The sequence below is a fragment of the Homo sapiens genome, chromosome 5, assembly GCF_000001405.40.
Source record: "Homo sapiens chromosome 5, GRCh38.p14 Primary Assembly".
Classification (NCBI taxonomy): Eukaryota; Metazoa; Chordata; class Mammalia; order Primates; family Hominidae; genus Homo; species Homo sapiens.
Genome location: NC_000005.10, coordinates 156,730,168 through 156,751,678, shown reverse-complemented (window position 1 = coordinate 156,751,678; position 21,511 = coordinate 156,730,168). Strand labels below are relative to the sequence as shown.

At 37.9% G+C, this 21,511-nt stretch overlaps 1 protein-coding gene and 1 long non-coding RNA gene across 13 annotated transcripts in view; one reads left to right on the top strand and one right to left on the bottom strand.

Annotated features, from left to right (window-relative positions):
• SGCD (sarcoglycan delta) overlaps positions 1 to 21,511 on the bottom strand; it is a 1,039,957-nt gene that overhangs the window by 16,110 nt on the left and 1,002,336 nt on the right. The gene's annotated exons all lie outside the window — the stretch shown is intronic.
• Positions 1,713 to 21,511, top strand: part of LOC105377673 (uncharacterized) — a 45,769-nt gene continuing 25,970 nt past the window's right edge. For 2 of the 4 annotated variants that reach the window (XR_007059015.1, XR_007059012.1), the window contains exons 1-4: positions 8,885 to 9,043; positions 10,940 to 11,055; positions 13,017 to 13,099; positions 15,381 to 15,648. This is a non-coding gene — a long non-coding RNA (uncharacterized LOC105377673). Of the gene's footprint in view, positions 13,100 to 15,380; positions 15,649 to 21,511 lie in introns of all 4 variants that reach the window. The other 2 variants (XR_007059013.1, XR_007059014.1) reach the window with 2 other exon arrangements.

Below are 21,511 nucleotides of genomic sequence, written 5' to 3'. Positions count from 1 at the left end.
CATTTGGGATTTTTGTCAGTGAAATGTTTTCATCTATTTTGTTTATTTCTATTTTTGTCTATTTTTTATTTTTTGTGTGATTTGTGGAATACTTTTATATAATCTGAAAAATATTCAGCCGTTCTATGTATTGACAATTTCTTCTTTCCGTTTGTGGTTTGTCTTTTATATTTACCATCTGTGGATGAACAGAGGTTTTACATTTTAATGCAGACAAATTTATGGTCTTTTGGAATAGGGATTGCACTTTCTGTGTCTTACCTGAGCAATCCTTCCCTACACTGAGGTCATGAAGCTCTTCTATATTGTTTTCAAAGGTTTTATGTTTTCTTTTTTCATTATGTCTCTAATTCATCAGGTATTAATTTTTGTGTATAGTCTGAGGTTGGGGTCAAAAGAGATGGAGATTATCTCAACATATGTTGAAAAAGCCAATATTTAGGTCCATCATAAATAATATTCCCATACCTTTATGGCTCTCTTTTGGGGTTTTCTAGTCTATTATTCTATTTGTCTATCCCTGCAAAATATTGTTTAATTAAATATTGTAGCTTACTTGAGTTTTAAAATTCTTTATACTTCATAAGGCAAATCCTCTTACCTTATTCTTGTTCAAGAATGTCTTAGCGATTCTTGGGTCTTCCACATACATTTTGGAATGAACTTAAGTTTCATAAGGAAATTCTTTTGGAATTTGGATGGGATTCAAATTCAATCCATGGACACTGTAGCTATCTCCAATTACTTATGTTTTATTTGATGTATTTCAATAGTTTAACCTATCTTTTGTAGCTATTGAAAATGGTGTTTTTTAAAAAAGTATTTCTCATTCTCCTATTCCCTGGAATATAGATATCCTATTTTCCTGAAATATAGATATCTAATTGACTTTTTTGGTATGTTGATCTTAAAAATCAACACCTAGGTAAGCTGTTTTTCATAATCTATCTGTAGGTTATTTTAGGTTTTCATTGCAACTATAAATTATGTTAATTTGTGAAAGTTTTATATTTTTCTTTTTTTTTTTTTTCTGAGACAGAGTTTCACTCTTGTTGCCCAGGCTGAAGTGCGGTGGCGCAATCTTGGCTTACTACAGCCTCAGCCTCCCAAGTAGCTGGGACTACAGGTGCCCACCACCACACCTGGCTAATTTTTGTATTTTTAGTAGAGACAGGGTTTCACCATGTTGGCCAGCCTGATCTTGAACTCAAGTGATCTGCCTGCCTGGGCCTCCTAAAGTGCTGAGATTAGAGGCATGAGCCACTGCGCGCGACTGTCATTTCTTATACTAATTCTTTTTCTTTTTTTACTATACTGTCTAGAACCATACAATACAGTGTTGATTAGAAGTAAAGAAATGAGAACCTTGCTTCTTCCTCACCTTAAAGAGGAAATTTTTCAACAATTTACCAAATTTACCATTAAGTATGTTTTTTATTCTAGGATTTTTCTCCCCTAATGCCTTTTAATAAGATAGTTCTCTTCTATTCTCATTTTGCCAAAAGTTTCTATCATTAATTAATGTGAATTTTATCAAATGCTATTTTATATAATGGAATATCTATTAAGATAATATATTTCTCCTTAATATATTAATGTGGTGAATTATATTAATTTTCCAATAACTATCTACTCCTGTGTTTTTGGCTTGAGCCCAACTTTGTCATTATGTATTATCTTTTCTATATATTTCTGAAAATATTTCATTTTTTTTGGTAATTTGCATCTGTATTCATAAAAGAGTGTGTTCTATAATTTTTCTTTCTTGTAATACCAATGTCGGGTTCTATCACTTTTCTATAATCCAGAATTGTTTATGAAAGATTAGAATTATTTGTGCCTTGTATGTTTAAACACATTGATAAACCCTCTGGGCATGAAAAATACATGTTTTTCCACCAAAAAATAATTACAGCCTCATAGAGGTTTTGTGTTTCTTCTCCAGTTTTTTTTGTAAGTTAGCTTTTTTTTTCCATTTCATATAAAGGTTAAATTTGTTGACAAAGTCTTTTTAAAATAATATCCTCATTTTTAAAATGTCCCCTGCTATTCTCCTTTGCACTGATAAAGAAGATTTTTAAAAATAAAAAATAAGATGCCCCCTGCGTTTGTAGCTGTCTGTCTTTTTTTTGTCCCACATATTTTTTTCACGTCTTCTTTTTGCCTTGAACAGTACTGCCAGAGGTTTATTATTAGTCCTTTCAAGGAGCTAACTTTTGGGTTTGTCAATCTGATCTATTTTTATGTTTAGTTCATAAATTTATCTGTCTTGTCCCAGATAATTCTCCAGTTGTTTCAAGTTCTAAAATGTGCTGTTTTGTTAATTTTTGCCTTTCCAAATTTTAATATATGCATTTAAGTTATGAATTTTTCTTTGACGGCATCCCAAAGGAGTATTTATAATATAGGTGTAAATATTTTCTAATTTTAGTATGACTTCTCTTTTTGGCCTATGAGGTTTATAGAAGGGCGTTCTTTAGTTTTAGAAATACATAAGATTTATTAGTATAGATTTCTAGTATTTTTAAATTTTGAACTTTTGAACATTGTTTTTGAACTGACAATCTTATAATAGAGAACATTTTCTGTATAACATCAGTTCCTTAAAAATTGAGCCCGGGCTCAATGGCTCACGCCTATAATCCTAGCACTTTGGGAAGCTGAGGTGGGCAGATCATCTGAAGTCAGCATTTCGAGACCAGCCTGGCCAACATAGTAAAACCCCATCTCTACTGAAAATACAAAAATTAGCTGAGCATGGTGGTACACGCCTGTAATCCCAGCTACCCCAGAGGGAAAAGGAGGCTGCAATGAGCTGAAATCACACCACTGCACTCCAGGCTGGGCAACAGAGCGAGACTCCATCTCAAAAAAAAGAAAAAATTGAAACTACCTTTTTGTCTCAGTATGTATAAATCTTGCATGCCTACCTGAAGAGAATGTGTTCTTCAGTTGTTGGTGCCATATTATATGTCTTATTAACTCAAGTTATTTAGTTGTTCCACTCAAATTTTTTGAATATTCATATCTATTTTTATCTGTTTTATCATTTACTAAAAGAGGCATGTTATTAGATGCATACCAGCTTGGAATTGGTTTATCCTCTTTATCTTAATATATAGTGATTCTCTTTATTTCTTGTAATGCTTTCTGCCTTAAAATTTATTTTCCTATTAGTATAGTTTTTCCACTATGCTTCTGTTATTTGCCTTGGACACATTTTTCTGTCATTTTAAATATCAACTATTCTATTATGTTTTTAGAGGTCTTTAATATAACCGAAATTTTTAAAATTTCAGATGACTTTTTATTGAGGTAGAACTTATATACAGTAAATTGCACTAATCTTACTTATATACTTTGATGAATTTTGATAGATGTATAGTTTCAGGTAATCACCATCGCATCCAACACCAGTACCCCAGAAAGTTACCTCATGCTTCTCTGCATTCACACCCACCACCCTCCAGAGGCACGCATTCTTCTGATTTCTAGCACCACAGATAAATCTTGCTTGTTTTTGAACTTCATATAATGAGAATAATAGATTTTTACTCTTTTATGATTTTTGAAACTAGAGATTCTTCCGTGTGGCTCTGTTCATCAGTTGTTCATTCTTTTTATTGCTTAGTAGTGGTTGATTGCATGAATAGACCATGATTTGTTTACCCACTCTACTGTTAATTGACATCTGGTTGTTAACAGTTTGTGGCTATTTTGTAGAAAGTACTATGAACATTCTTACACAAGTCTTTTTGAGGAAAAGTTTTCATTTCTCTTGAACAGGCAGCTTCGAGTGGAATGACTAGGTTATAAGACAGGCATGTCTTTAATGTGTGTGGTGAGGCAGCATCTAAGATGGTCCCCAGGAATCCTTGTCTCCTGGTTTTCATGCCCTTATGTTATTCTCTCCCCTCAACGTGGGCTGGACGTAATGACTTCCTTCTACACAAGTAGAATATGGCAAAATTAGTGGGATATCACTTATGAGCTTAAGATGTAAAAAGACCGTGGCTTCCATCTTAGGCTCTTGTTCTCACTCTTTCAATTTGAGGGAAGCCGGCTACCATGTTGATAGCTGCCCTGTGGAGAGGCCCAAGAAACTGAGGGAGGGGAGGCCATGAGCCCAAGAAAAACTAAGGTGTTCAGTCCAACAGTCTACAGAGAACTTAATCCTACAAATGACCACTAGAGTGTTTTTGGAAATGGACCCTCCCCTAGTCCAGCGTTTGGTAAGATCACTGCCCTGTCCAATAGCTTAACAGCATCCTCATAAAAAAGTCTTGAATCAGATCCATCAGCTAAGCTGCACCTGATTCCTGACCTACAGAAAATGAAAGGTAATAAATGTCTGTGGTTTTAAACTGCTAAGTTTTGGGGTAATGCGTTACACAGCAATAGATTAATAATACAATTAGAAATTGTCAAACTGTTTTCCAGGATAGTTTTGCAGTTTTACATTCCTATCACCATTGATGTTGAGGGTCTTTTTAATTATAGAAATTTTGGTGGCTACATAATAGTACTTTATTATGATTTTCACTTTTTTGATGACTAATGTTGTTAGGCACCTTTTCATGTGTTTTACTGGGTGTTCAAATATGTTTATTTGGAAGGGGTCTATTTAAATCTCTCCCCCAACTTTTTACAATTAGGGTACTTGCATTTTTGTTATTGACTTTGTATATATCCTAAGTAAAAATTCTTTTTCATATATATTTCAAGTATTTTCTCCCAATCTATGAGTTTCTTTATCATTTTTTAAGCAGTGTCTCTTAATGAGTAGCTTAAAATTTTTATTTTAATTTTGATAAATTTCAATTTATTAATATTTGTAATTTTTAGTACTTTTGTGCCTTGTCTAATAAACCATTGACTACCCCAAGGTCACAAAGATATTCTTCCCATGTTTTCTTCTAGAATCTTTATAGTTTTAGCATTTATGCTTAAATTTATGATCCATCTTGAATTAATTTTTAAGAATAGTGTTCATTTTTTCTAATAGGTTTATCCAGTTGTTCCAGCTCCATTAGTTGAAAAGATAATCCTTTCCCCATTGAACAGCACTGATGTTTTTGTTGAAAATCAATTAAGCATATATGTGTGGATCTATTTCTAAACTCTCTGGTGTATTTATCTGGCCTCAGGATACTACCTGGCTGTCTTAATTCTCTTAGTTCTGTATTCTTTAATCCTGCAAGACTACTGTTTATACAATCAACATTTATTTATGTCTACGTATTTAACTCTTTACATATTCCTTCTGTTACCTTAGGCTTTCCAATATCAAAAGAATCCTTGATATTTTCCTTTAGTAGATGCCTTCTGGGGTAAGCCCCCAGTTTTGTTTTTCTGGAATAGATCTTTAATTTGCCCTCCTTTTGTGAGAGAGATTTTGGCTATATCCACAACACTGCATTGACAATCATTTTCTCTCAGGTATTAAAGTTACTATTCTTTCACATTCTGCTTCTCACTGTTGTGATGAAGAAGTCAGCTGTCAGTCTAATCTCAATCCCAGAACTTCTACTTGGTTTTTTTTTTCTCGCCTACTCCTTTTTTATCTCTGATGGTCTATAGTGTCATTCTGATATGTCTGCATGTAAATTTCGCTTTATTTGCAGTATTTTAATTTTAATTTAATTTTTTTTTTTTACCCTTTAAACTTGTGGTTTTGTGTCTTTCTTCACTTTAGGATAATACTCACCTGATATGTCTTTGAAAACTGTTCTTGCCCTAGTCTCTCTTTCCTCATTGATTCTGCAATTTGGATTAGATGTTCTTACTCTAGCATTCCTATTCTTCTGTCTCTCTGCTTTTGAGGTAATTCTTCAGATATATGTTCATATTGATTTATTTTTCTCTATTTCTCATATTCATTGGAATTTTGCTTTTTGAGATTGTATTTTCATTTCTAGAAATTCTGTTTCATTTCTTTTCTAATGTGTTATTTTTATATGTCTTTATTTTTTACTCTGTTAATTTATTCCTGTGTTTTTTTATGCATAGTAAACATACTTGTTTGTTCCTCTGCTAATTCTCATAACTGAAGCCTCTGTGGGTCTACATTGGCTGCCTTGTTTTCCTGCCTGCTCTCTTGCTCATGGTGCCTTGTTTCCGAGTGTATTTTGTCCTTCTTGACTGTGAGTTCACATTGCTTGGATTTTTATCTGCAGGAATTATTTGAAGCCTGCATTTAAGATGTTTTCTCTAGAGAGGATTTGCATTTGTTTCCATCACTCACTGGTGCCACCGTGAACTTGGACCCACCGTAAACTAATTTCTCTGCTTGAGATTTCAGGCCCATCCAGGTGATATGAATTCAGCCAGGCTACAAACCAGAGTGAAGGCCAGTTTGAAGTTATCAAGTGGTAGAGAAATTTATTTTTTCCCCTTTCATTCAGTGCTGAGGTTCAAGACAGGCAATTTCCCTTGTAGTCCTCTGAGTGGAAGGGCCAGGTAGGGAAGACTAGGCAGATTAGATTCTATTTCACCCTTACACTGAGGCTTTGGTAACTGGGGGGGTCCCAGTTTCATCTGTGAAATCTCTAAGACTCCCCACCTCAGTGAACCCCAAGATTTGTTTTGTTCCCATAACCCAGGAGGCCATGAAAACTGAAGCTAAATTTCATCTAGGTTAGCAAAATCTATAACGTTAAAGGGGCCTCAATGATCAGCTGATGTCTCTGTGTTCTCACGCTCCTTTAGGGCTTGAATGTTGAATAATCTTAATAGTTTTCAGAGGGTGGACTGGTTAGGGAACTTAAAACTACCATCTGTGTTGCACTGGAGGTCCAGGTTTCCAATTTTTCAAAAGATTACGGAACTTGACATGGTATGATAAAATCAGCTCAACTTTAAAAGTTGGCAGCTTCTTTTTAAATTATGGATGTGCCAACTTTCTGAGAATCACATCTGGCTGAAGAGTTGTCAATTGGCTAGAAAGCTCCATGGAAGTTTGTTGATCATGGCTCCATTAGAGAAAGATAACATCTATGAATGAGACAGATATATAATTTCGTTTATTATAGGAATTTGTCCTTACACATTTGGGAGACCTGGTTAAACAATCTAGGTAAGGTTGTCTTTGTGTCTGATGCTGGAGCTTGAAGTCAGTGGGATGGGAATCAGGAAAAAAAGATGGATGTGAAGTGGGGGAGAATGATGATGAACTGGAACCCACGACAATCTCCCACCACTTCTGTCTTTCTTCCTGAAACTCAGCATGTACCTAGCCCAGGAGTTGGAGAAGCTAGAAGAAAATTGGTGGGAGCCAAAAGACTAAAGTCTCGGCTGCTGCCCCACACTAACAAGGTGATCGAGCAGGTGATCTCCAACAGTGCCTGTGGCTCTGCACTGATTTTCCAGCACAAAAAGAGTATGGCAGATGCTGCATTCTCACCTTCCAAACCTCATGCAGCCATGCTAACTCAGGGAAGGATTTTGGGAAATGTTGTTCCAGCTCAGGTAGGTTGATACATTAAAAATAAAAATAAAACAGGGATAACAATGAGGGGTGGATTTATAGAGACAGGGGTCTCACTATGTTGCCCTGGTTTTGAACTCCTGGGCTCGAGCAATCTTGCCTCAGCCTCCAGAATAGCTGGGATTACAGGTGTGCACCACTGTGTCTGGCTCAGGTATCCCTGTTTTAACTGCCTGCTTTGGCTTGAACACATTGTACTCAGGGGAACCAATTTCAACCAGTTTCAACTTGCATTATAGAGATTGGCTTAAATAAAATAAGCACCAGAAAATAGGAAGAAGGAACATAATCTTCTCTAATTATATAAGTTCTACTTTTAAGTCAAATAAGGGTCACTTTGAAACTCAAGCTCCTTCTTATCTGAAACAGGTATTTAAGTTTTACCAATGAATCTGCTGAGTTTGTAGAGATCTGTTGAAAGAAAAATCTATTCATAATATTCTAGGCTTCTACTCTAAAGACTTAAGAAATGTATTGGATAGTCTCATTTGAAGACTATTTCTCTCAGAAAGCAGTGATATGTCCTCTAGAGCAAAACCATTTTGAGATTTGCTTCTATGAAAGGCAAGCTTGGCCATTACAAAACATCATTTTGAATCAGCTCTTCTTTCCCAGTGTAGAGCTAGTTGATTTAGTTAATAAACATGGATTATACTGGGCTTAAGGGGCACAGAGACGCAGAAGGACCAGCATTCAGCATAAAGACTTTTAGAAAGAAAGTAATTTTATGAGTTAAAAGAAATTTAAACAAAGTAGATAATGTGGTATTAATAAGAGGCAAGGCTGGGCGCGGTGGTTCATGCCTGTAATTCCAGCACTTTGGGAGGCCAAGGCAGGTTGATCACCTGAGGTTAAGAGTTTGAAATCAGCCTGGCCAACATGGTGAAACCCTGTCTCTACTAAAAATGCAAAAACTAGCCAGGTGTGATGGTGGGTGCCTGTAATCCCAGCTACTGGGGAGGCTGAGGCAGGAGAATCGCTTGAACCCAGGAGGCGGAGGTTGCAGTGAGCCGAGATTGTGCCACTGCACTCCAGTCTGGGCACCAGAGCAAAAACTTCATCTCAAAAAAAAAAAAAAAAAAAAGATGTAGGAAGCAAGTGAGGTATGGCTTTGCAGAATAAGGATTTTAAATGGATTGGTGGTATAAGCGGGCAAAAAATATTCCTGTGATGGTTAATTTTATTTTTCAACTTGACTAAACCACAGGTACCCATACATTTGGTCAAACATTATTCTAGGTGTGTCTGTGAGGGTGTTTCTGGATGAGATTAACATTTGAATCTGAAGAATAAAACAGGTTCCTCCTTAATGCGAGTGAGTTTCATCTAATCTATTGATAACCTGTATAGAACAAAAAACTGAGCAAGAGATAACGTTGCCTGCCTGCCTGCCTACTTGAGACATTAGTCTTCTGCCTTCAGATTGGAATTTATATTAATACCATCTACTCCTTGGTTCTCAGTCCTTCTGACATGAACTGGAACAACACCATCAGCTCTCCCGGATCTCCAGCTTGCAGACAGCAGATCATGGGACTTTTCAGCTTCTGTAATTGTGTGAGTCAATTTCTTATAGTAAATCTATGTCCAGTTTTTTCTGTTTCTCTAACAGAGTGGAAAGTGCATAAGAGGTAGCAAGAGGACTGCAAGGAAAGTAGCTAGGAGTCTGTTATTATCCAGGTGGAAGAAGATGGTGATTTGGATTTGGTGATGGACTGGACCAAGGCTGATTTCTAGTGTTGTAGATTTTATTACCAGTAGATGGTGGAGGTCAGCCACTGAGAGAGGGAAGAGAATAAGCAGAATGCTTATAGAGTATATGGATAGTGGATAGAACATCATGAGTTTGTTTGAAATATGTCGACTTGAAGATGTTTGAGTCATCAAGCAGAAATGTGGACATGTGGGGCTAGAGATAGTAAAGTGGGAGGTGTATTTGATTGTGGTTGGTGGAGTATTTCCGTATCGCTGAGTTAATGGTACTTTGTGTATAAAACCTCAAGAAAAAGAAACCTGAGGCCGGGCACGGTGGCTCACGCCTGTAATCCCAGCACTTTGGGAGGCCGAGGCGGGTGGATCACGAGGTCAGGAGATCGAGACCATCTTGGCTAACATGGGTGAAACCCCGTCTCTACTAAAAATACAAAAAATTAGCCAGGCGTGGTGGTGGGTGCCTGTTGTCCCAGCTACTCAGGAGGCTGAGGCAGGAGAATGGCATGAAGCTGGGAGGTGGAGCTTTCAGTGAGCTGAGATAGTGCCACTGTGCTCCAGCCTGGGCAACAAAGCAAGACTCTGTCTCAAAAAAAGAAAAAAAAAAAAACCTGAAAACATAATTGGATTCCATGGAGCATCCACTGTCTCACTGTCTCTTTTTGGCTGGTAAGACTAGGAAGGTGCAATTGAGGAACTGATTGTCTAGCCAATTCACCATGTAGATTGCATCCTCCCAGGGTAAACATTTCCTCTGAAATGCTGTCATTTCTATAGTTAGACACGAGGCAAAGCCCTGACCAGAGTTCCAAAGTGTCCAGCCTCTGTTACCCTCTGAGATGGTTTCACAGCTCGTGTTTGAAGATGTGTAGTTTTCGGCCCAGGGAATATGACAAGGAGAAAATTGGTCATCTCTCCCAGGTTTACGAAGCTCTGAGATTTTTCTCTATCAAACCTTCCTTTCGTGGCACATTTCTGCATTCAGTTAAAACTTCTGCTCAGCTCAAATTCCACTTAATGTACCTGTGAAACATGGGAAACTGGGTCCCTTTCCTTCCTGGCTGTACTTGGAAGTCTCATGAATCAAAAAACCCTACAAAACTTTAAATGTTATCACAAAGTCTGTTTTGAAAACTAAGAGAATAATTTATTAGCTGTTGGCATTATCAGTTTGTTCTCTGTCTCAGGCTCATTTTTTGTTGAAATTGTTTTTGTTGAAACAGTGATTACTTATCCAGATTTCTCGTTTTCATTTCCTTCATCATAAGAATCTACATTAATCACTTCCAAACCTAGACAAGCTTTTAGATCATATTGTGTTTCCATCCTTAGAGAATGGAGACAATGGCTTTTGTTACTTTGGGGAGCGACCTTCAGAACATCATAAAAGCCAAATAATATATGTGGTAGCTGAAATAGAAGAGGTTAGCTCTGGTCTTTCCCAGGAAACAGCAGTTTCACACCAACACCTAGGATTACTCTGTGTGTTACAAGTTTGAGAAAAATAATAATCAGAGAAAGTTATGACTGAAAGGGAAATAACTTAGAAAAAACTGGTGGGAAGGTATAAAGTTGGTGTATTTTTGGTCAATTAAAGCAGCTGCACTTGGGGAGTTCTCAGATTGGGTGGGAAATTTCATTGTGGTCAGAATCACAAGGGGAGCTTTTGAAACGTGGGTCACAACCCACACAAATTAAATCGGAATGCCAGGGCATTTATTGATTTGAATTTTTTTCTTTAAGGAGGTGGTTGAGAACCATTGACGTAGACTGACTTAGCAGATCTTCAAATGTGAATAGGGAATCCTGCCATTCCACTGATGAGAACAGCATGCTTAGGATATTGCTTCTGAGAAGAGGTAACCCAAGTTAAAACCCCAATAGCTAAATTAACATACTTGATAAAATAAAGATCTACAGTGCCCACTGTGTGGGCCCATTATACTTCTGTGTTGCCACTCTAATGCTACTGTCTATATAAAACTTGAGCAAATCAGTAGGATTCTTTAATTCAAAAGTTGTGTGTCTCTAAGAAGGTGACATAATTCATTGCAATCTTTAAAGTGTATATATTTTTCAAACAATTTCTTCATTGACCTGAAGTTCATTAGCACTCGTTGAATCTTCAAGAGCTCAGTTTAATTTCTACTTCCAGAAAACCACTTTAAAAATTGTTCCCATATTTTAGCTGTGCTGTTTGATCAACACTAATGAACCAACAGCCATATTGAAGAGCCTGGTCTGTATCAATGTAATGGGACATTTGAAGTAACGGTGAGTGAGATTTTAATGCCAGGCAACTTTAAGAACATGATATTGGCTACCATCATGTTCAACTCCATGGTCCAATTAGTTTTCTGCCTGGATATTAATAATTTTGACAATAAAATTATGACATCATTTTCCTGCAACACTTGTGACTCATCTTCTATTTTTGAGTTAAGCTTTTTCAGAGTCTGATTCAAAGGAACTGCAGAGGCCTAGGGTTTTCTAATTAAAGTCCATGGCAAGTATCACTGACAGATTTAGATTCATAAACCATAAGTGAATCCATATTATATACCATGGATGTGCTTTTTGAGTTGGGCATTCTAGCTGGTATCTAGTACCAGTTCCATTTGTGGCAGGAGGCAAGGGAGGTTCAGAGCGGTTAAACAAACATTGTGGCCAAGACCATGTGCTTAGAGACTTGTAGATTAAACCCAGGTCTCTGATTCCTCACTAGTATGTTTTCGTAATAATCCATGGTTCTGACTGTTTAAAAGTAGCTTTTATATTTATTGGGTAGAAATATCTTCCTGTAACATATGTCATCTGCAGCTTCCATAGGTAAATACACACAGTTTATAAAGACAAGCATTCTGGCTATTTTGAAGTTTTTTTATCCAGGCTGAAGAGGATATTTGACAGATCCTCCAGCAAGTAGACTAGAGTGATCTTCTTGGTCATCCTACCCTGCAGGAAATGGGAGGCCCACCTTCTGTTCTTACTCTTAATATATCCATTTCCTTCATGCCACTGGACGCAATTTGCAATTATTTATTTGTCTCTTTACTTGTTTTAATTTATCTCTTCTTCTAGATTAAGCTCTGTAAATGTGATAATTCTACTTGGTTTATGCCCAGCATCAAGGCGTGCAGGAAATATTTGTTTGAATTGACTTCCCTCTTAGAACCTGCTGCCTCGTGTTGAATGCAATGCTCTTGCTATGTTCTGAGCAAGGTCTAGGGCCAAATGAGCACACTTTCCTTTCTTTCCCTTCTTGGTATGATTCTGAACAACTTAAGATTATTATTGCAGTCTAGTTGCATTAGAATTGGCAGTCTCATTAGTGTTATCTTTCACTGAACTTAGAAAAAAAAATATGATGCTAGGGCCATATTTTGTTATGTTACCTTTTAGATGTTTCCCCCTCTTAATATATCTTAAATACCTTATTCTTACTTCTAACTTATTAGCAATTTCATGCCACCTACAATTTTTTATTCCAAATTTCTTAGAAGGGAATGTAGGATATTTCTTTAAAGCTTGAGCTTCAGACTCAGGATTTTGAGCCCAAGCACCTCATCTGCTGGATGTCTGCTGGATGTTTCACCTTGGAGAAGGCTTTTTGAGGCTGAGCTATTTCTCATGTTCAAAAGAGATATTGGTGTCTTCTTTGTAGCACTGTTATAAAGACGAAATGTGGAAATGTAGGTGAAGCCTTACGATATGGCAGTGATTGGTGTTAGTGTAGTCATTCCCCCCTCAAACTGGTTAGAACTGATGATTTCTTTTGTTCCTAACTCTAATCCCCTCTCTGGTGTTCCTTATCCACAAGAGGCATCCTGTTGTATGTAGTGGCCACATAACAGACTGCAAAGAACTGGAACGCAGAGTAATTTTAATCCAAAATGTTCAAAGGTAAGTGGCTAAAAATAGTCCATTCTTCTTCCATGCTAAAACTTTAACAACTATGAGAGAGGAAAAGCTTGACAGATTCTCTGTAGAATTTGTCAACTACTTTTGCCAGAGGTCAAAACTGATCATAAATACTGTGCCTTAGTAGCCTAACATGGCTTCTGAACTGTGAATAGAAGCTGGGATTTTGTAGCAAATGGTGTTCCTCAGAACTCGAGGTTTCCAAGGTGACTGCATATGAAACTACAAACATCACAATAGCAGTTTCCAGAGGGACTCTCTTTATGGTCCTCCCCATACCCTCCATCCCCAAACTATTACATTCTTTACACTGTGATTCTTTCTAAAGTGAGATAGAAACTAAATAATTGATTTGAATATCAAAGAAAAGATGTACATTTCCATCTTCTCAATTTTCATTAGAGTACTGATTTTTCAAGTCTTCCCAATAAGACCTAATGCTCTCAGAACATCTAATGACCCATGCAACTAACTTGACTCCATGTGTAACAGACAGCTAGGCTGTTGATTATTTTAATTAGCAATTAAAAGTAATACATTCACAAATGTTATTTGGATTTTTCATTTAAATGAAATCTCTAGCTTTGATCAGGATTGAAAATCGGTTCAGCCTATGGGGCAGTGCATCATAGAAGGAGCTCTGGATTAGGAGGAGATGCCTGTCATTGAGTTAGCCACTAACTCGCGATGGGGACCCATTCTCCTGTATACAATGAGAGGGTTGGACTAGCAATTGAAAGGGTCCATCTCTCAGCCCTGAAACACACTTCATGTTTCTTAGCAGCAAATAGATTCTGGAAGATTAATAGTCAATGTAAGTATACTGCCTGCCATATGATTATAATGTAAGAGATCTCCTGCACTGAGTCAAGTGGTCACCCTGTGCTCTCTTCATCCCCCATGCTAGCCTTCAGTAGACATCCTCAAGAGTATTCTGTGTCCACTTACTGATATATTGTACAGGAATCCCTCTCTGTGGGGAGCAAAGTAGGTGATCCACATAGCTCTAGGAAGGCTGAAAACAATATTAGTGTCTTATATGTAAATAACTATACCTCACTCAAGCTTAATTTTTTAAAAGCCACTTACTAAAATTTATACCTAAAAATTATTGCATACTTACTATACAGTAGGCAATGTGCTAAATAAAACATTGTAGGAAGAAGTCACATTAATATTATTATCCCCACCTTACAGTTAGTTGGGGGAAGTTAAGCCTAAGGTAACTCAGCTAGCAGCAGAGTAGATGTTCCCACTGCAACTCTATCACTAGAACCCATGCTTTTAAATGTTACCTGAAAACTGCCACTATTTACTGGAATGAACAAATGCTACAGTAATAGACTGAGTTTTAGGGCTCTGGGAAAAAGTACATTGTAATCAGCTAAAATTGAGGAAGTACTTAATTTGTGTCAAGAGACTCTGGGTGATGTGAATGTATACATTTAAAATAATATATATCATTTTAAATGGTTATCTATTGGATACAAATTGAAAAACTTCTATCTTTGGTCCAGCCATTAAATAAATATTTTGGTTAGTAACTAGCTTACCTACTTTGCAATTTTATATTACCCATTTCAGGATCCTCTGTTAGTGAAAATGGTAACATGAGAAGCCTGAAATGGTATTTAAAAGCGATATGGAGGTCGTTCTGGTGTTGGTCTCAGTAGGGTTAGCTGGGGGATTATGTGAAAGCTGAGGGCTGAACAAGTCAGAAGGCATATTTGGAAAGTGATTAAAGTGATTACATTCAATAATAATAATCACTATGTAGTGAACACCAACGATGCTTTCAGACTTTCATATGGTCCCGCGAGTTCTCAATACATCCTATGCAGTATGTGGTAGAATCCCTATTGAACAGATGAGGCTCAGTAAGGTGGAATGACTTGCCCAAGTCCACCCTGTCATTCACTTGGAGATGGGGCTCAGGTAACCAGGACTATCTGGCTTCAAAGTAGCCTTCTTAAAACTTTCCATTGAATTGCCAGCTCTCATAGAGGATTAGTGCATTCCTCTGGGGGTCTGGGACACAGACACACAGACTCACTAAAAGGTAAGTGTTTTTTATGGAAATCTCTTCTGTTCAGCTTCAAAAGTTATACAAATTTGGTGTTGTACCATATACAATATCCCTATTTAATGAAAAATAATAGTTTATCATTTGTGAGTTATTTGATTTGTATCCAAATCTTTGGGTAAAATATTCTCCAGGAAGATGTGTCAAGTTTATCCTATGGCTTTCTGTGCTCTAATTCAGGATGAACAAAACTGCAATAAAGCAGAGTAAGTAAACACAAAGAGTGGCCAAGATGGCCAACTAAAAGCAGATAGGATGCGTGGCTCTCACAGAGAGGAAAGGAAGGAAGGGGCAAGTAAATACAGCACTGCCAACTGACACATCCAGACAGTCAACACTGGGACTAATCAAGGAAACAACTCGACCCACAGAGAATGGAGAAGAGCAAGGCAGGACGACGGCCCATCTGGGAGCAGAATGTGGAGCCAAGGGAACCTCCCTTGCCAAGGTAAGCAGCGAGTGATTGTGTGATCCCAGGAAAACTCTTCTCCCATGGATCTTTGCAACCCTCAGATCAGTAGATCCCTTCATAAACCCACTCCACCAGGGCCTTCAGTCTGACACACAGAGCTACATGGAGTCTTGGCACAGCAGCTTCTCAGGCACACAGGAGACCTGGGAACTTTAGATACTCTGGTTTTCCAGGCTTCCCAGCACAAGTAGCTGCAACTCTGGCAAAGCAGGAGGTTAGACCACCATAGATACCCCTAGGAAAGTGGCTGAATCCAGGGGGCAAAGCAGCGATGGTCTGCGGGCCCTGCTTTTATGGCACCTCACAGGATAAGACCCACTGGGTTGGAATTCCAGCCAGCCACCAGTAGCAGTGTTGCACCTACCCGGGACAGAGCTCCTGAGGGGAGGGGCAGGCTGTCATCTTTACTGTTTGGAGAGTCCAATCTGACTGGGGCAGAAGGGATACCCCCTAGCACAACACAGCTGCTCTACAAAAACATAGCAAGACTGTTTCTTTAAGCAGATGCCTGATCCTGTTCCTCTTCACAGGGAAGAACCTCACAACTGGGGCCTCCAGCCACCCCTGCCAGTGCTCTCCAGCTGACAGAGATTTGAAAACTCCCTGGGACAGAGCTCCCAGAGGCAGTGGGGGGCAGGCTGCCATCTGTGCTGTTTGGGTGGCTTAGTAGTTCCAGCCTTTGGGCTTTGGAGAGTCCAAGCTGACTGCGGGTGAAAGTAGTACCCCAGCACAGAAGGTCCCTGACCCCATTCCTCATCACTGGGTGGAGCCTCCCAACCAGGGTCTCTGGCTGACAGAGGTTTCAGGCCTCTCTGGGATGGAGCTCCCAGAGAAAGAAGGAGGCTGCCATCTTTGCTGTTCACAGCCTTCACTGGTGATACCTCCAGGTACTGGAAAATCTGAGGTGATTAGGGACTGGAGTGGATCCCCAGCAAACTGCAGCAGGCCTTAAGAAAAGTGGCCAGACTGTTTAAAACAAAACAAAAAAACCATCCAGAGGTCAGCAACCTCAAAGACTGAAGGTAGATAAGCCTACCAAAATGAGAAAGAATCAGTGCAAAACCACTGAAAACTCAAAAAGCTAAAGTGCCCTATTCCTATCAAATGACCATACTACCTCACCAGCAAGGGTTTGAAATGACAGAAGTAGAATTCAGAATATGGATCAGAACAAAGTTGACTGAGCTAAATAAAAGAGTACATTGTAACCCAATGCAAGGAAGCTAAAAATCATGATAAAACATTGCAGGAACTGACAGCCAAAATAGCCAGTATAGAGAGGAATGCAACCAAACTGATAGAGGTAAAAAACAGACTACAAGAATTTTATAATGCAATAACAAGTATTAACAGCAGAAAAGACCAAGCAGAGGAAAGAATTTCAGAGCTTGAAAACTGCCTTTCTGACTAGAGAAAAAATAATGAAATGGAATGATGAAAACCTCTGAGAAATATGGGATAATGTAAAGAGACCAAATCTACGACTGATTGTTGTACCTGAAAAAGATGAGGAGAATGGAGCCAATTTAGAAAACATGTTCCAGGATATCATCCATGAGAACTTCCCCAACCTAGGTAGAGAGGCCAACATTCAAATTCAGGAAATGCAGAGAACTCCAGTAAGATTTTCCATGAGAAAATCATCCCTAAGACACATAATCATCAGATTCTACAAGGTGGAAAGGAAAAAAAAAAAGTTAAAGGCAGCTGGAGGGAAAGGACAGGTCACCTACAAAAGGAAACCCATCAGACTAACAGAAGACCTTTCAGCAGAAACCCTATGAGCCAGAAGAGATTGGGGGACAGTATTCAACATTCTTTAAAATAAATTCCAACCTAGAATTCTTCATAAGACAAGGAGAAATAAGATCATTTTCAGACAAACAAATGCTGAGAGAATTTGTTACCATCAATCTGCCTTACAAGAGCTCTGAAAGAAGCACTAAATATGGAAAAGAAAGATCATTACCAGCCACTACAAAAACACACTGATGACAATATAAAGCAACCACATAAAGTCTCCAAAATAACCCGCTAAGATCATGATGAGAGGATCAAATACACATGTATGAATACAGAACCAAGATCCATTTGTATGCTATCTTCAAGAGACCCTCGCACATGTAGTGACACACATAGGCTCAAAATAAAGGGATGGAGGAAAGTCTACTAAGGAAATGGAAAACATTAAAAAGCAGGGGTTGTAATCTTAGTTTCTGCCAAAACAGACTTTAAGCCAATAAAGATTAAAAAATACAAAGAAGGGCATTACATAATGGTAAAAGGTTCAACTTAACAAGAAGAGCTAACTCTCCTAAATAAATATGCACCCAGATTCATAAAGCAAGTTCTTAGAGACCTTCAAAGAGACTCAGACTCCTATACTATATTAGTGGGAGACTTTAACACCCCACTGACAATATTAGATCATTGAGACAGATATTCAAGACATGAACTCAGCTCTAAATTACACGGACCTGATAGTTATCTACAGATCTCTCCACCCCAAAACAACAGAATATACATTCTTCTCATTGCCACATGGCAGTTACTCTAAAATTGATCACACAAGCAGAAGTAAAACACTCCTCAGCAGACGCAAAATGACTGAAATAATAACAGTCTCTCAAACCAAAGCACAATCACTCAAAACCACACAACTACATGGAAATTGAACAACATACTCCTGAATGACTCTTGGGTAAATAATGAAATTAAGGCAAAAATCAATAAGTTCTTTGAAATTATTAAGAACAATGTATCAGAATCTCGGGGACACAGCTAAGGAAGTGTTAAGAGGGAAATTGATAGCGCTAAATGCTCACATGGACAAGTTAGAAAGCTCTCTAGTTAACAATCCAACACCAAAAAGAAGTAGAGAACCAAGAGCAAACAAACCTCAAAGCTAGCAAATCTCAAAGCAAGATCAGAGCTGAACTGAAAGAGAGACATGAAAAACCCTTCAAAAAAATAAATGAATCCAGGAGCTGGTTTTTTGAAAGAATTAATAACATAGGTAGACTGCTAGGCAGACAAAGAAGAAAAGAGAAGATTCAAATAAACACAATCAGAAACGACAAGGGAGATGTTACCACTGACCCCAAAGAAATACAACCATCACAGAATATTATGAACACCTCTGTGCTCATGAACTAGAATAGATAAATTTGTAGACACATACACCTTCCCTAGACAGAACCAGGAAGACACTGACTCCCTGAATAGACCAATAACGAGTTCTGAAATTGAGGCAGTAATAAATAGCCTACCAACCAAAAAGAGCCCAGGACCAGACAGATTCACAGCTGAATTCTACCAAATGTATGAAGAAGAGCTACCATTCCTACTGAAACTGTGACAAAAAATTGAGAAGGGAGGGACTCTGCCCTAACTCATTCTATGAGGCATCATCCTGATACCAAAACCTGGCAAAGATAGAAAAAAACAGAAACCTTCAGGCCAATATCTTTGATGAACATTGATGCAAAAATCCTCAATAAAATACTGGCAAACTGAATCCAGCAGCACATCAAAAAGCTTATCCACCACAAATAAGTAGGCTTAATCCCAGGATGCAAGGCTGGTTCAACATATACAAATCAAATGTGATTCATCACATAAACAGAACTAAAGACAAAAACAACATGATTATCTCAATAGATGCAGAAAAGGCTTTTGATAAAATTCAACATCCATTCATGTTAAAAACACGATAAACTAAGTATTAGACCCATAGCCAGTATCATACTGAATGGGCAAAAGCTGGAAGTATTTCCCCTTGAAAACCAGTACAAGACAAGGATGCCTTCTCTCACCACTCCTATTCAACACAGTATTGGAAGTTCTCACCTGGGTATTCAGGTGAGAAAGAAATAAAGGGCATTCAAATAGGAAGACAGGAAGTCAAACTATCCCTGTTTACAAATGACATGACTCTATAGCTAGAAAACCCCATGGTCTTAGCCCAAAAGCTTCTTAAGCTGAGAAGCAACTTCAGAATACAAAATCAGTGTGCAAAAATCACTAGGATTCCTATGTACCAACAACAGTCAAGCCCAGAGCCAAATCAAGAGTGAACTCCCATACACAACTGCCACAAAAATAATAAAATACCCAGGAATACAGCTAACCAGGGAAGTGAAATGTCTCTAAAGAACTACAAACCACTGCTCAATGAGATGGCACAAATGGAAAAACATTCCATGCTCATGGAAGAATCAATATTGTGAAAATAGCCATACTGCCCAAAGCAATTTATAGATTCAATGCTATGCCTATTAAACTACCATTGACATTCTTCACAGACCTAGAGAACTATTTTAAAAATCATGTGGAACCAAAAAAGAGCCCGAATAGCCTAAACAAAAAGAACAAAGCTGGAGGCAGCATGCTACTGGTAGAAGAGCAGACACAGACCAATGGAACAAAATAGAAAACCCAGAAATAAGACCACACACCTACAACTATCTGATCTTTGATAAACCTGACAAAAACAAGCAATGGAAAAAGGACTCCCTATTCAATAAATGGTGCTCAGATAACTGGCTAGCCATATGCAGAAGACTGACACCGAACCTGTTCCTTACATCATACACAAAAATTCACTCAAGATGGATTAAAGACTTAAATGTGAAACCCAAAACTCTGAAAACCCTGGAAAACAACCTAGGACATGCTATTCAGGACATAGGCATGGGCAAAGATTTAATGATGAAACACCAAAAGCAAAAATTGACAAATGAGATCTAATTAAAGAGCTTCTGCACAGCCAAAGAAACAAACTATCAACAGAGTAAATAGACAACCTACAGAATGGGAGAACATTTTTGCAAAATTTGCTTGTTTTTTTCTTGTAAATTTGTTTAAGTTCCTTCTAGAAGCTAGATATTATAGACCTTTGTCAGATGCAAAAAAACCTCGTTAAAAGTAGGCAAAGGACATGAACAGATACTTTTCAAAAAGAAGACATACATGTGGCCAAGAAACACATGAAAAAAAGCTCAAAATCAGTAATCATCAGAGAAATGCAAATCCAAACCACAATGAGATACCTCACACCAGTCGGAATGGCTATTACTAAAAAGTCAAAAAATAAATAATAGATACTGGTGAGGTTGTGGAGAAAAAGGAATGCTTATACACTGTTGGTGGGAGTGTAAATAAGTTTAGTCACTGTGGAAGACAGTGCGGCAATTCCTTAAAGACCTAAAGACAGAACTTAAAGACCTAAAGACAGAACTACCATTTGACCCAGGAATCCCATTACAGGGTATATACCCACAGGAATATAAATTATTCTATTATAAAGACACATGGATGCATATGTTCATTACAGCATTATTCACCATAACAAAGACATGGAATCAACCTAAATGCCCATTAATGATAGCATGGATAAAGAAAACGTGGAACATATACACCATGGAATACTATGCAGCCATAAAAAAATGAAATCATATCCTTTGCAGGAATATGGATGGAGCTGGAGGTCATTATCCTTAACAAACTAACAAACACAAAACAGAAAACCAAATATTGCATGTTCTCACTTATAAATGGGAGCTAAATTATGAGAACACATGGATACATACAGGGGAACAACATGCACTGGGGCATTTTGGCAGGGTGAGAGGATAGAGAGGATCAGGGAAAATAACGAATGGTTACTAAGCTTAATATCTGGGTGATGAAATAATCTGTATAACAAACACCCATGTCACAAGTTTACCTATGTAACAAACCTGTACTTGTACTCCTGAACTTCACATAAAAGCTAAAAAAAACTGCACAGAATCTAGGGTCTGACATTTTACTTAGTAGACCTGTGATTTTGGATAAG